The sequence below is a fragment of the Homo sapiens genome, chromosome 3 (assembly GCF_000001405.40).
Source record: "Homo sapiens chromosome 3, GRCh38.p14 Primary Assembly".
NCBI lineage: Eukaryota > Metazoa > Chordata > Mammalia > Primates > Hominidae > Homo > Homo sapiens.
Genome location: NC_000003.12, coordinates 187,868,788 through 187,886,031, shown reverse-complemented (window position 1 = coordinate 187,886,031; position 17,244 = coordinate 187,868,788). Strand labels below are relative to the sequence as shown.

The 17,244-nt window shown below is 38.0% G+C and overlaps 1 long non-coding RNA gene across 1 annotated transcript in view; it reads left to right on the top strand.

The window, feature by feature from the left end:
• Positions 1–17,244, top strand: part of LOC105374264 (uncharacterized) — a 59,909-nt gene that overhangs the window by 4,671 nt on the left and 37,994 nt on the right. Inside the window, exon 2 of the long non-coding RNA XR_924813.3 lies at positions 8,910–9,025. This is a non-coding gene — a long non-coding RNA (uncharacterized LOC105374264). The remainder of the gene's footprint in view (positions 1–8,909; positions 9,026–17,244) is intronic.

Below are 17,244 nucleotides of genomic sequence, written 5' to 3'. Positions count from 1 at the left end.
ATGAAAATCCTTAAAAAATGACAAAGAATACCCTCCTAGAACTAATAAGTAATTATAGCACTGCTGCAGGACGCATGGTTAATACACAAAAGTAAATTGCTTTCCTAAACACTGGAAATGAACAAGTGGAATTTGAAATTAAAAACACATTACCATTTACATTAGCAATCCAAAAGTGATGTACTTAGGTATAAATCTAACAAGTATGTGCAAGAGGAAAACTGCAAAACTCTGTTGAAAGATATCAAAGAACACATCAATGAAGAGATATTCTGTATTCATGGATAGGAAAACAACAGTGTCAAGATTTCAATTCTTTCCAACTTGATCCCTATAAAAGTATCAGCAAGAATATCGGCAAACTGATCCTAAAGTTTATATAAAGAGGCGAAAGGCCCAGTATAACCAACTCAATATTGAAGGGGAAGAAGAAAGTCAGAAGACAGACACTACCAGACTTCAAGACTTACTATAAAGCTACACTAATCAAGGCAGTGTGATATTGGCAAAAGAATAGACAAATAAATCAGTGGAACAGAAAAAGAAGCCCAGAAATAGATCCACACAAATATAGTTAACTTATCTATGTCAAAGGAGGAAAGGAAACACAGTGCTGCAAAGATAGTCTTTTCAACAAATGGTGTTGGAATAACTGGGCATCCATATACAAAAAGAATCTAGATACAAACTTTATACCCATCACAAAAATTATGATCCACAAAATGGATCATAGGTCTAAACAGAAAATGCAAAACTATAAAGCTTTTTAAAGATAACATAGGAGAAAACCTAAATGATCTTGGGTCCCATGATGACTTTTCAGATATAACCACAAAAGCATGGTCCTTGAAAGAAATAATTGATAAAGTGGACTTCATTAAAATTAAAAACTTATGCTCTGCAAAAGACAATGTCAAGAGAATGAGACAAGCCACAGACTGAGAGAAAATATTTGCATAAGACACATCTCAGAAAAAGACTGTTATCTAAAACATAAAGAGGAGTCTTGAAATTCAACAATAAGAAAATGGGCAACCTTATTAAAAACACAGGCAAAAGACCTAAACAGACACCTCATCAAAGAAGATATACATATGACAAGTAAGCCTATGAAAAGATTTACAACATCATGTGCAATTAGTGAATTGCTAATTAAAATAATAATGAGATACCCACTACATGCCTATTAGAATGGCCAAAATCCAAAGCACTGAAAATACTGATCACTGGTGAGGATGTGGAGCCGGAGGAACTTTTGTTTATTGCTGATGGGAATGCAAAACGATGCAGCCACTTGAGACAGTTTAGTAGTTTCTTATGAAACAAAACATACTTTTACCATATAATCTAAGAATTGTGCACTTGGTATTTACCAAAGTGAATCGAAAATTTATGTCCACACAAAAACCTGCACATCAATGTTTGCAGAAGCTTTATTCATGACAGCCAAAACTTGGAAATAACCAGTAGACGAATGGACAAAAAAAAAATATATGGTGCATAAAGATAACGGACTATTCTTCGGTGCTGAAAAGAAATGAGCTGGCCAGGTGCAGTGGCTCAAGTCTGTAATCCCAGCACTTTGGGAGGCCAAGGTGGGTGGATCAAGAGGTCAGGAGGTCAAGACCATCCTGGCTAACACAGTGAAACCCCCTCTCTATTAAAAGTACAAAAAATTAGCCGGGCGTGGTGGCACGTGCCTGTAATCCCAGCTACTTGGGAGGTTGAAGCAGGAGAATCACTTGAACTCAGGAGGTGGAGGTTGGAGTGAGCCAAGATCACGCCACTGCACTCCAGCCTGGGTGACAGAGTGAGACTTTGTCTCAAAAAAAAAAAAAAAAAAAGAAATGAGCTATCAAGCCATGCAAAGACATGGTGGAAACTTAAAATCATGTTACAAAGAGAAAGAAGCCAATCTAAAAAGGCTACCTACTATATGATTCCAGTTATATGACTTTCTGGAAAAGGTAAAACCATGGGGATAGTAAAAGAAGCAGTGATTTCCAGGAGTGAAAGGGAAGGAAGAAATAAATAGGCAGAGCAAAAAGGATTTTTAGGACAATGAACCCATTCTGTATGATACTGTGATGGTGAATGCATGTCATCGTATCTTTGTCAAAACCCATGGAATAAAATGTACAACAGCAAGAGTGAAATCTAATGCAAACTGTGAAGTTTGCATAATAATGATGTGTCAATATAGGTCTACAGATTATAATAAATGTACCACTTTGGTGCGGGATGTTGATAGCTGGGGAGGTTGTGTGGGTATGTGTGTTGGGGGAGTGGGGAGAACAGGCAGTACATGGGAGCACTCTATTTTTTGCCCACATTTGCTCTGAACATAAAACTGCTCAGAAAAATAAAGTTTATTAATTAAAAAAAGAAGATGGTCTTCAGCAGCACTTCTCAAAGTTTTGTCTTGGAACCTCCCTAAATCTCTGGAATCCTATCAGAAGGTTAACTAATTTCATGATAGCACTGACACATTATTTGCCTCTTTCAAACTCATTCTATCATGAATGTACAGTGGAGTTTTCCAGAGGCTACATGACATGTGATTTTGCAACAGACTGAACACAGCAGCAGCTGGGAGAATCAAGCAGTCCTCAAGCCAGACATTGAAGAGATAACTGCAAAAATATAAAACAGCATCACTCTTCTCACTGTATCTGTTTTGGTTTAGAAAAATTGTTATTTTTCAAAAAATATGTTATTTATTTAACATGTAATGTGTTTATTATTTTAAGTAAAATAATAAATACTTTTTAAAAAGAATTCTGATGTTTGTTACTTTGTGCAGGAGATAAGATAAAAACACAGCAGTGAAAAGGGTATGCATTGGGGCTGAACCTCTCTCAGCCAGCGTAAGTAGAGAAGACTTCTCATCAGGCAGAAAGTTGCATTTGGATTTGCCTTTAAAAATGGGTAGGATTTAGACACTGGAAGATTGCTGAGAAATGAGAAGAAGACATTAAGCAGAGTGGAAGCATGGTAGACAAGGCCAGTGCGCAACGAACATGGAGTCTAAAGCACAGCATAGAAAATGGAGGACAACATTGGGAAGTTGGATGGGTCAAAAGCAGGTGAACACGTGTGGAGAAAAGAAATATGGGAAACTTTATATCCTGAAGTCCTGGTAAAAGGGAGGAAGTGGTTTTTCCTTTGTTTTTATTGTTGTTGTTTTAAATCAAGTTTATTGAAGTGTAATTTACATACAATAAATTTCATCCTTTTTAGCATTGAATTCTCTGATTTTTGACAAATGTGTATAGTCAATGTAACCACCATAATCAAGATCTAGAACAGTTGCATTACCCCAAAATATTGCTTCTTACCCCTCTGTGATCAATGCTTCTCCTCGCCCCCAGTTCCTGGCAACCAATGGTCTATATTGAAGGCCAGTATTTTTTCCGTTCCTAAAACACCATAAAAATGGCATCATAGGATAGGTAACTTTTTGAGTGTAGTTTCCTGCACTTAACATAATGCATTGAAAATTTATCTGTTTTGTTATGTGTATCAGTAGATCATTGCCTTTTATTGTTGAGAAGAAACTGGTTGTATGCATTTTCCAGTTTGTTTAACCACTCACCAATTAACAGACATTTGGGTTATTTCTAGTTTGGGTCAATTATGAATAAAATTGTTGTATACATTCATTTATAGGAATTTATGTGAATGTGAATATAGGTTGAAAAGTGGTTTTATTTCAAGTAAAAATGGTGAACTTAGTTCAAAAAAACCAGATGAATAGAATCTCAGCTCCAACAGTGTGCTTGCCTTTTTTATATCCTGCATGTTGGTGGTTTAATGACTGTAGCGTCAGGATTCCTAGAATTAATTATTTTAAACCCAATTTTACTAATGAGAGACATGAAGCTAATATCTAAAATTAACTTGCCAGTTTAGGTGTCCAAGAGGTTCCTGCAGGAGGCAGGAAACCAGCTGGAGAAGTTCATAGGCAAATAAAACAAACAAATAAATGAAAATCTCCAATCTTCTTTACCCAACCTCTTAGTGTCAGCCAGGAAGATTATGGTTGATGTAAAAAAAAAATTAAAGGTAAAAACTGTTTGCATTTTCAAAGGGTTATGTGTTAATCATATACATGAGAGTCTGCTAAATGAGGCTCAAATAAATTGTAGTCCAGTAGTAAGCCCCATGTGGAGGACATTTACCTTCTCCGTGGCCAAAGCTCCGTCTATGGAATGGAGAGCAAGAGATATCACCATGAAATTTCAGAGGCTTGAATACCACAAATATTGAATGTATGATCATTTCAATAGGCTGAAATTTGCCATAGTACCATCCACCATGAATGGACTTGCTGGGCAAATGAAAAGTGTGGGGGAGTTGCTGAGGAACTACTTACCAGAACAAGTCATTCTGAGGACCCTCCCCACATTGAGAAAAAGCCATACTGCCAAACCTTATGCTGATTGACAAACACCATAATCCCATCATTATGTAGATTTCTCTAAGGGCACATACTAGGAAACATTCTACTTCTAATTGTTCCATGTTCCTGGGGAAGAGAGGATGGCATTTTTAAAATAGATGTTCTTCAACCTATAGACCGATAGAATCTTTGATATGAAAGAAAGGGGAAATTTAGTTAGTCCAATTCCTCAACAGAATCCCTTCCGAGTTTCTTCGTAACCCACTCCCTCAAAACTTGAGTACTTTCAATATTCTTCAAAACCTAATCACTTTTGAGATTGAGCTCAAATATCTCCTTCTCTCTGAAGCCTTTCTTGAGGCTTCAGTTAATTACTCCTTTCTCTGTGTTCCCATTGTATATTACCTCCACCTGTCCTGGAACATTTGTCACAATATATTGTTATCTGCTCATTTGTCTATCTTCCTCCATTGCTCTATGGGTCCCCTTAGGATCAATAATTCTGCTATACTCATTGCCTGCATCTCCAGTGCCGTAAACAGTGTCCAGCTTGAAGTAAGTACCCAATAAATATTTTTAATTTATTTTGATTGCATTGGTTACCTACTTGTCACTGACAGTGACTCACTAACTTCTGAGGCAGCCTATTCTGTTAATGAAATATTTTGTCTGATAGAAAGTTGGTCCCTATAATGAGTCAAACCATGTATTAATTTCTACTCACTGTCTTTTTTTTAAATTTTAGATCTTGGGACTCTCACATAAATGCTGGGGGATTCACCACCTTACTAGACCTTCTAGGTATTTAAAGATAGCAGTCATGACATCTTTGATTCTTCTCATTTCCTGGCTAAATTCTGTTTCTTTACTTTGTCTAAGTTAAGATTTACATTATCTGCAGAATTAAGGCGACATTATCCACTGCTAAAAATGGCAGCAGCTATATGGTGGGAGGAGTTTGAATTGGAAGAGATTGTTGTGAGTCATCTCAACTGATCTCATTGACTGATTTTTCCTGATGATTTCTTAACTTTCTTTTACCCCAAAGGCATGATATGTGCTTTTGAGAAGGCTGGTAGATTAGATATTTAGTTGCATGCAGTGTTTCTGTTAAAGATCATAAAAGCTTATAATAGGAATCTGTAGCTTATCTCCTAGTTTAAAGAATGGCCAATGAAAAGGAGGGCTTCTGAAATAAAGGTGAGGAGCAGGCAAATGTCCTTAATATCCAAATTAAAAAACTAACTTCATACTGACAACACGACCAAGCAATTTGGACAATTAGCAAATGGCCAGTCACTTCCACAACAACAAAATCAAATTACTATCTGATTTCAGGGATCCTCTTCTTTAGAAAAATCCCTTCATATACATTCTGAGATATTCTTAAACTATTATATTTTATTTCAAAACAATTCACATTCATTCAAAAAACCCTAGCATGGCTGGGTGTGGTGGTTCACACCTGTAATCCCAGCATTTTGGGAGGCCGAGGTGGGCAGATCACCTGAGATCAGGAGTTTGAGATTAGCCTGGCCAACATGGCAAAACTCTGTCTCTACCAAAAATACAAAAATTAGCTGGGTGCAGTGGTGCGCACCTGTAATCTCAGTTACTGGGGAGGCTGAGGCATGAGAATTGCATGAACCCAGGAGGTGGAGGTTGCCGTGAGTCAAGATCGTGCCACTGCACTCCAGCCAGGGTGACAGAACAAGACTCTGTCTCAAAACAAAACAAAACAGCCCTAGTATACCACTGCATGTTAAGTTCAATATTAGATACTGTGGATACAAAGTCGAATACGACAGTTTCCAAATTCAAAAAGATCCTGTTTCCTCCGTGGGCCAACATAGCTGTATCAACAAATAATTACAGGTACAATGACACAATGGAGAAAGAGAACTTTTAATGACATCTGGGGTGGTCATGAAAGACATTGCAAGAAATAACACTTAAGCCTACTATAGTATCATTGTGTAGATATAATATTCATAAAATTATGCAGTTAAGCAAAGTTTATGTAAATGAACCAACCATACCAAAAAAAAAAAAAAAAAGCTGACCAATTTCTTTTAATTTTACATGATGGGTATTTGTTTTCATATTTATTGAATATACCTTTACTGAAAATCTTCTAAAAGCCAGATATTCACCAGGTATTAGGAGAAAGACAATAATGAGTAAAACATGATTCCTTCTCCCAGAAGTTAGAGTAAAATAGAGGACACAGATGCATACACACTAATACAAGGCCAAAGAGAGTGCAGTCTCTTGGCAAGAGAGTAGGACCAAGGGTGAGGGGAAAAGAAACTTATTCTAGATCCAGCTCAGCCTCTATTTATTCATTCAATATTTATTGAGCAAAATAAACATAATCCTTCAGGAGCTTTTACAGACCAAACACTATTACCATGAGGCTTTGAGCAGTTGCTTTCCTTTTCCAAGAGGTGCTTCACCACCTACAAAATAATGTCTTTATTTGCCCTGGTGTCCAGAATGTACATCTCTTGACATGTTATTTCATTATGGATGAACCAAGAAGGAAATGAAAGGGAAACAGTTGAGGAGAACTGAGAACTAAATTTACCGGTCTCAAAATTCTGTATTGGGCAATTTGGATTATCTCGTAGAAAGAGCTGATTCTTTAAATTCCATTCCAATGATATTGTTGACCACAAGTAGGATTAGAGAAGGGTGGGGTGGCCTTGATGTTAATAAAATTTACCAGGCATGATGGTATGGAATGATGATTTCTACCCCTAAATATATCTATATTCCAATCAGACTGCTTACAATTCCATCAATCGCTCTTCATTCTTTGGAGTCTGTAAATTATCCACGAAAATGCAGAGAAATCCACAAACCATGGGTTTTTCAATATGAATCTAGTCTCTTTTGGGTTCTAATCTGTGTCCTACATATACTGCCCTGAAGATGAAAATTGGTAAGAATTTGCTATTTGGAAAAAAATAGCAAGAAGAGCATGCCAGGCACAGGACAGAGCACAAGCAATCTTCTGAGGTGAAACATGCATGCTCTGTCCAGGTATGCTAACATACCATGTTTGGAATGGAGCTTCAATCAGGGAATAGGAGGAGACAAATAATTCGGGAAAAGAAGTGGGTCCAGATTCTGCAAGACATTAGATGTTAGGCTTAGGAGTCTTTTTTTTAAAAAAAAGTTTTGTAAGTAAGGGCCAGAAAATGTTTTGGAGAGATTAATCTGGATATGCCCTACAGGATAGGAGAGGGCAAAGAGGTATTGTCGTAAGTAACTTCCAAGACCGCATGCCAGAAGTAAATACAATAGTGTTCCATTGTATGTGTGTGCTCTATTTCATGAGCTATCAAATAGCAGGTGGTCCCTGTCTGGGGTAAATTCCCGCTCTGTGTTGGGAGACGGGGATTTGGCCCTCTGCATGACTGGACTCTGAGCCGCAAGCCTCCTGCTACCGTGAGGCAGACAGCAGGCTTGCCATAGCCATCCCTACTCCAGGTTCTTGGGTGAAAAGGCAGAGCAGGCAGGGGTCTTCCTTGCTTCACTTTTAGTGCCAAGTATCTACATATCAAGTGATATAGTCTCACATGTTACTTCCATTTCTTTAACATATTTCTTTGGAATTGAGTTTGTGAATTTAAAAAAGAGCCAGAAGTAGTTGGATGTGGCACACGACATGGTGTTGCACAACAAATTCATACCAAGAAAAACGCCACCATTATAACATTCCACCACACTTATTAGTGTATTTTTCTGCATTTTAAATAAAAATTTAATATATACATTTTTAGCTTTGTATAATGAAATAATTTTAAACTTGCAGAAGAGTTGCAAAAATAGTACAATGAATTCCATATACTCTTCCCCCATATTCCCCTAATGTTAACATTTTTACCACACTTGCTTTATCGTTCTTTTTCTACAAATATATAGAAGGGTTTTTTTTTTTTCTCTGAACTGTCTGTGAGTATGCTGTAGACATGATATCCTTTTACTCCTAAATACTTCAGGGTGTATTTCCTAAAAACAAGGATATTCTTTTAACACGACCACAGTATAATTAGCAAAATTATGAAGTTAACATTGATACAATATTAATGTTAATCTATACACTCTATTCAGATTTTGCCATTTTTTGCATTAAGGACCCTCTTGCTCTACTCTCATATGTTGGCATGGTTTGCCAATGATCTTTTCTCTGGTGAGGCCTTTTATTGTGATGGGATTCCCTTTACTTTCGGTGTCAAAATATCCTTTATTTGATGGGACAATAGTATTTTTATTTACTAGTATTTTTAAATGTTTATTACACAAAATTAAAGATGTCAATCTTATGTCATTTCTTCTTATTTTATTGATTCATTAGTCAAGTTTAAAACCACTGGCATAATTTCGCTAGTCCTCTATTGTTGGACATTTAAATTGTTTCCAGACTTTTAAAGTTCAAACACTGTGGCAGTAAGCAAACTTATATATTTATCTTTTCATTAACATGTGGTTATTTTTGTAGGATAAATCCAAGAAAATAGAGAAGATCAAAAGAAGATACATAGCTGAAAACACTTGAAGGTATAGACTACCTTGAAAGTCACGCAAGAACTGTTCTTCCTGCTTTCCATATCCAAGGTAAATACATTATCCCAATCAATCAGTTACCAGGGTTAAAAAATTGTCTGCAGATGTGAAAATACATATATATATATATGTAACCCCTGCCTCCCGACTTTCTCCAGAGATGAGCTTTTAATTGCTGTGCATTGGAGAACAATCAACTTTCCCTCTTCAGTGTCAGGGTGACACAAATTTCTGCAGGCCCAGACTCTTACTACAAATCCACTTATATCTCTTCCATCTTGGCTGCCAAAAGGGTGTTTTCCTCTGCACCTAGCATTTTGAGCAGCCTAAACAGGTCAGGGAAGCAGAGAATAGCTTCCATGTGCTCTAAATCAACTCTGAAGGTTCAGTAGAGAGGTCATCATCTTCAGCAAGTAATGTTACCTTTTCCTTTTATTTGGTTTTGGTGATGCTGTTTTCAAGGTATTTGATGAAAATATTTTCAAACTTTCTGTGTTTCCTTAGTCAGAAAACCCTTTGAAGGAGCCAATGGGAAGAGGTAAATGGCTCCAAGTTCATTTTCCAGGAAAGCAGACTTTATATCAAACAGCTGAGCACATTTCCCTTCACCACCTAGAGCTGGCTCATAATCTGAGTGAGATTTACACCTCCCTACACCAAACTGTGCATATACAATCCTAGAATTTTAGAGCTGAGTGGAGCTTTGGGCCAAACTGTGCATTTTACAGATGAGGGAAATTAGCCTCAAGAGTGGAAATGCCTCCCTCCAGGTCTCACGGTGAACCAAGGCCATGGCTCCAACAGGGTGCAGTCTCCTGGAGGTGCAGCGAATCTACTGGGATGCCAGGATGTTAGAACTTCTATTTATGTAATTTTTGAAATGATTATAGACTTCACAAGAAGCTGCCGAAAGAAAATGGAGAGGTCTCACTGCACCCTTCACCTACTTTTCCTCTGTGGTAGCATCTTGCATAACTGCAGTCTTGTTAAAACAAGGAAATGGACATCAGTACAAGCCAGAGTCTGTTTGTATTTCCCGTATTTATATGCACTTATTTGTGTGTGTGTGCTTCTATGCAACTTTTTTGCATGTGTAGAATTACATAACCACCAAGAATTGTTTATATTTTAAATTTAGAAAAGAAAGACAACTGAATGAATGTTTAATAAGTGCACGGGCACTACTGCCTATATTGCTGTTTGTATGTGCATTTGACAATTGCATGCTTTATGACACCTGAGAAATACCTCTCACCTGAGAAGAGGAGTTGAACCATGTGGCAATCTACATTTATTTTTTCTTGAACTCTCAGTGTATCGTCACATTCATCAGTTTACAAGAGCCCCATCAAGCGGATCTATGGATGATGTTATCCAGTTTCCATTAACCTAATCTTTCAAAATGGACTTCAGTGAGTTAAAATGATTTCTGCCTTAAAAAACCTCTGCAAGCAGGCCCGGCGCGGTGGCTCACGCCTGTAATCCCAGCACTTTGGGAGGCCGAGGCAGGTGGATCACAAGGTCAGGAGATCGAGACCATCCTGGCTAACATGGTGAAACTCCGTCTCTACTAAAAATCCAAAAAAAAAAAAATTAGCCAGTCGTGGTGGCGAATACCTGTAGTCCTAGCTACTCGGGAGGCTGAGGCAGGAGAATGGTGTGAACCCGGGAGGCGGAGCTTGCAGTGAGCTGAGATCGCGCCACTGCACTCCAGCCTGGGAGACACAGGGACACTCTGTCTCAAAAAAAAGAAGAAAAAGAAAACCTCTGCAAACAGTAGATTGAAGATAATACTTACGTTGCAAACACAACCAGACAACAAGGAAATGGCAGAGTTAACCCTTTCTACTCCTGGTAAAAACTCTGCCAGCCATGTGACAAGATAAAAGCAATTATCATCTAACCTGAGCTGACAGGAAGTCAACAAAGGACAAAATAACCTGTCCAGAAGATATTTTGAAAACGGATTTGTATCCATCGTTGTTTACAATGTAAATGTATATTTTGTCATGAGAAACGGAATGATGAGAGGAGGCCGCGATGATGAGTAAGACATCCTAAACATGACGACAAGCCTTTATAAAATTTTCAGCAATATTTAAAGTCATGTGATTCTCAATAAGAGACAAAATACATACCATTAAGGAAGCACTATTCCTTTTACAATGTAGCAGCAAACTAAAGCACAATCCTTTGCCCATTTATTATCTGTGACACGTTGGGTATAACATGGTGCCTTGCCCATAGGGCTGTTGGAGAACCAAGGAAGGAAAAGATGTGGACATACTATGCTTTTAAAACACTGAAGTTCTGTGCAAATACAATATTATTATTAATTATTTTAACATGAAATTTCAGAAGAAAACTCACTGAACAGGAATGTTATTATCTAACAGGCAAATATTTGAACAGATTTTTTTTTTGGTAGTCTAGGTGGAGAAATAATTATTTTGGGCAGAAAAATATGTTCAGGGGTAGCAGGATGGTAGAGTATCTCCAGACCGGGATTTCAGTGCTAACGCTGCCGTAATACAATTTTTCCAACCATCTGTTTTATCATTTGCAAAGGCAGTTAACACATAAGCCATCTCACAATGTCATTGTGAGGACTGAAGGAGACAATTATATGTAAAGAGTTTGGCATGGTGCTTGGCACACTGAAGTTTTTCAAACCACATTAGTTATCTTTCTCCTCCCTTTCTCCTTTTAAGCAGCTCCTGAAACACACTCCTGCAGAAAGCCTCCGCCCTACTAGGATTACATCCATTTCGCGTCTTCTTAACTATAATGGGATATTTTTGGAGGACTGGGCTAAGTACCCTAATTTTTTTTTTTGTTTCAGAAAACACACAGCATTTAACAGTTTTCTGCTTGCAGTGAGTGCTTAATATAGGCTTATTTGATGAATGGTTGAAATTAATTATCTCTAAAAGAGAACAAATGTGGAGCCTCAGGTCAAAGTCCTTTGGTCTCAGGATTTCAGACACTAACTGCCACTAAAGGATTACTAGAGTGTTCTCCTATCTGAACCCATAGTGGATTGATATAATAGAAGTATAATAACCTCTTTGATATGTACAGAGCATTACGGTTTCCAAAGCACTTCCACATTTATCATCTTATTTGAGCCTCACAACAAACCTTTGAGTTACTCAGGCAGCTACTACTACAGAGAAACCTTAGGCCTGGAAAAATAAAGCAGCTGACCCAAGGCTGCCAGGCCAGGCATCGGACACAATACTGGTACCAGTCACCGTTTTTTGAGCACAAGCATTGTGCCAGGTACACAAAGTACATTATTTTCTTCAGTCCTCAGAAGACCCTTGATTCAGTTCCTACTGCCACTTTAAAAACTATGCTGAGGCCAGGCTTGGTGGCTCACATCTGTAATCCCAGCACTTTGAGAGGCCGAGGTGGGTGGATCACCTGAGGTCAGGAGTTCAAGACCAGCTGGGCCAACATGGCAAAACCCCGTCTCTACTAAAAATACAAAAAAATTAGTTGAGTGTGGTGGCAGGCACCTGTAATCCCAGCTACTTGGGAGGCTGAGGCAGGAGAATTGCTTGAACCCGGGAAGCGGAGTTTGCAGTGAGCTGAGATCACACTACTGCACTTCAGCCTGGGTGACAGAGTGAGACTCTGTCTCAATAAATGAATAAATAAATAAAACAAACAAATAAATAAATAAAAACTATACTGAGACTTTGTGGCATAAAACAACAATTTCATTATGAGCATGGATTCTGTGGGTCAGATATTCAAAAAGATCACAAAAAGGACACCTTCATGATGTCTAGGGCCTTAGCTGGAAGATGCAAATGTTGGGGGCTCAACAGCTAGGGACTGGAATTGTCTGGAAGCATCTTTAGTCATGTCTGGCAGTTTGTGCTGTCTGTCTGCTTGGACTGAAGCACCTACATGTGGTCTCTCTCTGTTGCCTGGGCTTCTTAATAGCGTGGTGGCCTCAGGATGATCATATTGTTTACACAGAATCTCAGCCCTCCAAAAGCAAATGTCCCTCACCCCCCAGAAAAGGTGGAAGTTGAGTCACCTTTTGCAACCTATCTCTGAGGTCACATGTCATTCCTTTTGCTGTACTATATTGGTTATATGCAAATCACAGGCTCACCCATATTCTAGGCAAAGGACATAGATTTCACGCTTTGATGGGAAGAGAGCTTATGGAGTAGAGGAGATTTTGTGGCCATCTTTGGAAAATACAATCTGTCACACTTTAAATGGAAGGCCGAGGCAGGCGGATCACGAGGTCAGGAGATTGAGACCATCCCGGCTAACACAGTGAAACCCTGTCTCTATTAAAAAATTAGCTGGGCGTGGTGGCGGGCGCCTGTAGTCCCAGCTACTCAGGAAGCTGAGGCAGGAGAATTGCTTGAGCCCAGGAGGCGGAGGTTGCAGTGAGCCGAGATCCCGCCACTGCACTCCAGCCTGGGTGACAGAGTGAGACTCCCATTTCCAAAAAAAAAAAAGAATGGAGAAATCGAGGCTGAGAGAGGTTGAGAGACTTTCTTGAAGTCATGTAACTAATATAGTCGAGTAGCATTTCACCCAGGTGTTAGGATTTCAAAGTCGATGAGTAAAGCAAACATTGTTTATACTCAAAATTACCTTGGAAATCCTTCCATTTGTTGGTATAGTGCTTGTGGTTCCGCATAAGCAACAGGTCCTTGTGCATCATCCCATGCTCCCTGGGGTACATCTGCTAACTGAATGAAATGATGGGCAGAATCCTGTGCACTATTTAAATTGTTATCTCACTTTTCAGAGTGTTAATGTTTAAATTCCCATAGGTGTGATACATTTCAAAAAGTGGATTTAGTATTTGACCAAGCTTGGTCTAACTCCCAAGCCCAATCTCTCTTTACACTTCTTGCTGCCTATAAACCACCTCTAGAAGGCTGAAAAAGAGATCACTTTCAGGTCCATCTAGGTCAGTCTCACTGTCACATGGAGTGGGCAGGGAGTCACTGGAACCAGGCCTGAGTTTGCAATTCAGATGTGATTTTCAGGCTTTGTCACTGGCTTGGCTTCCACGTGTCTAAACCTTGTTTGTGTTGAAGCTACATTTATTAATGAGCATTTGGACAGCCACCTCCCTCTTCCCTGTTGTCTCTTCTCAGGTCTTCATGGAAATGGGCAGTAGGTGAACTGAGACTTGAAAATGAGTAAAATGTCAATAGATAGAGATAAGGGCATTTGAGGTACACTGAACAGCATAAGCAAAGGCATGGCAATGGGAAAGTGTAGAATGCATTCAGGGACTGGTGAGCAATGCAGAGCTAGTCATATTTGCTGGGGATAGATCACAGAGGTCCTACAACACCCAGCTAAAGACTTGATTCTAGAGTTAATGATGTAGGAAAAGTAATCTGGTCTGCTATGCATTTTAGCAGTAATACTTTGGAGACAGAATGGAGGAGAATTTGTACAGGAGAGTGAGGCTTGAGGGAAGGAGACTGGTTGGGATCATACTGGTGTAGAGAAGTAAATGCCTGCCTCTGGTTAAGGTCAAGGTGTCTGAGTAGGGAAATGTAGGGTCTTTGCCCATGATCTTTACAACAGGTTTGGTACCAATAAGGAACTAGGTAGGCCTCTAGAGTTAATAGGGCAAATGACCACTAAAATGGCATGACTCAGCTCTAATGCCCAGATAAATCTCCCCTTCTAGGCCTCAGCACCTGAAGTTTCCAATTTGATAACTTGACCACATCTTCCCATGTGGTTTTCTCCTACTCCACCCCCATCACTCCCACCAAAGTACCCACAATCATGAATCTTTTACTCATTATTCCCTTACTTTAATTTTTGCATAGTTTTATCCCATCTATGTGTATTATTTTAAAAGTATATTTTATTAATGTTGTTCTTAACATTTCTGAAAAGGGCATCATGCACAATTAATTTTTATATTTTCACTTTTTAACTAAAATTATATTATGAAGACTCATCCATAGCGTTGCTTGTTGTTGTAGTTCATTTAATTTTTACTGCTGTTATACTCCTCTGTGTGAATGTACCATAACTTATGTGTCACCTCTCCTGTTGATGGGATTTTTGTTAGGTTCATTAATACGCATAGTACTGCTATGAACATCCTTATTTATATTTTCTAGTATATGTACACAAATATTTCTTTTAAGCATAGTCAGAGAAATAAAATTCCAAGGTCATGGAGTCCATAAATGTTCAATTTCACGAGATAATAATTAAGCTGTTTTTTCTTAGTGGTTTTACAGCACTTCCAGTTCCAGCTATGACTAACCTTCTCACCAAAAACAATTATTAAAATTGGTCAAAGTCTTTGAAAGCATGGGGAGAAACCAAATCAGGCAAGAGTGAAGGCGTTACTATCACTGAATAAGGGAGGCACACACGGTGATCTCCATGCAGCTTTTTCCTTGCTTACACATTTGAAACCATGGTGGAGGGGATTGGGGCCCAAGAAGAAGGAAGTGTTCTTACTGGGCTGAGGACCAGAGGCCAGTATTTGGGGTTGCCAAGGTAGCTGAATCTTCAAGGGGAAAGTCCTGAAGAGAAGAGAAGCACAGCAAGAGACCCAAAAATTGGCTGGAAACTTTCCTTTGAGTCACTGCCTGACTCCTAATGTACATATGCACAGATGAACCCATCAGATACAGAAAAACAGCAACTAAGAGACCAAAGAGCTAAGCTGAGATGTCAGCAGCATGAGGTGCTTCAGGTACAGAAGTTGGAGTGGATGGGCCTTGGCAAACAGCTCAGACATTCAGTTTCACCCCAAGAAGCACCACAATGTAGAAGGGAAGACAACACTTGAGGAGTAAGACTATATATCTGAGTATTTTTTATCATGCCTTCCCATTTGATTGAAGATTTAGTTGGATATTTTTGTATACTTCTGCAAAAGATGTCTTCTTTCAAAATGATGTCTTCTGGTTGTTTATTGCTAATATAGGAAGGATACAATTGCAAATACAATTGACTTACATAAATTAATCTTATATCCAGTCACCTTGCTTAACTACTGTTACTTTTAATACTTTACTGGTGGATTATTTTGAGTTTTCTAAGAAAAAAATTCTATCATCTGTAAATAATGGCAATTTTATTTCCTCCTCACCAATCTTTAAGCCTCTAATTCCCTTTTCTTTTCTTTTCTTATTTTACTGACAATATTTAGTTTAATGGTGAATTATTTTTATGGATTTTCTAATATTATCTTCATCTACCACTGAGTAAGCTCAATGAGATATATGACCTTTAACATGCATGATTGGATTTGATTCACTGAAACTTTCTTTAAAATTTTTACATCTATAGTAATAAGTGGCATAGCTGCATTAACTTTTTTTATAGCTCTTTGCTGATTTTGGTATAAAGTTTGTGATCTTCATATTATCTGATAATACTCTATCAATATCAGTTTAATTTTATTCTATTTTCCTGATTAATAATTTCCTATCATTTTACATTCATCCTTTGCATGTATTTTGCTTTAGAATATGTGTAGTGAATGGTAATATTTGAATTTTATTTTTTATTTGGTGAGTTAGCTCATTTACAGTAATAGTAGTTATTCATATTTAGGACTTTTACTCTGTTCATTTGTTATTTCAATCTGTCACACTTTTCAGTGATTTTTATTGCTTTGTTTATTTTTTAAAAGTTGTCTTTGTTTTCTCTCATATAAGGACTTTAATAAACTCTAATGATCCTCAGCCTCCTCTAGCTCTATCATGTTGAGTTCATCTAGACTTTTAATTCTTTGTTTTTGTAGATATGCTTTCTCTTTCTCTTTTCTTTGGTCTCAGCTATTTTTTAAGACAATCCCAAACTTCACAAAGATATTTGGTCACCTTTATTTCACATATCTCTTGTATTGTTCCTTCAATTTGTTTCTACTTTATATATGTCATTGAAAAATGCTTTACACATACATCTTTGGGCATGAAATGAGACTGTACATCTTGGGTGTTTTTTTTTTATCATGCCTTCACATTTGAACGAAGGTGTAGCTGGATATGAAATTCTGTACTTTCAAAATTTTGATAACACTTCTCTATTATCTTCTTGCATTCTTGCTTGCTGCTGAAAAATCTGATATCATTATTCTTTTTTCTTTGAAGGTGATTTGCTCTCTCTGTTTGCAAGCATTTACAATTTTCCGTTGTCTCTGATATTGTTAAATTTCAGCAAAATTTATATCTGGGAGTATGTTTCTCCTTATCTCTTCTCGTTCTTGCTCTCTGTGGGTCTTTTCAACTTGAGGTCTT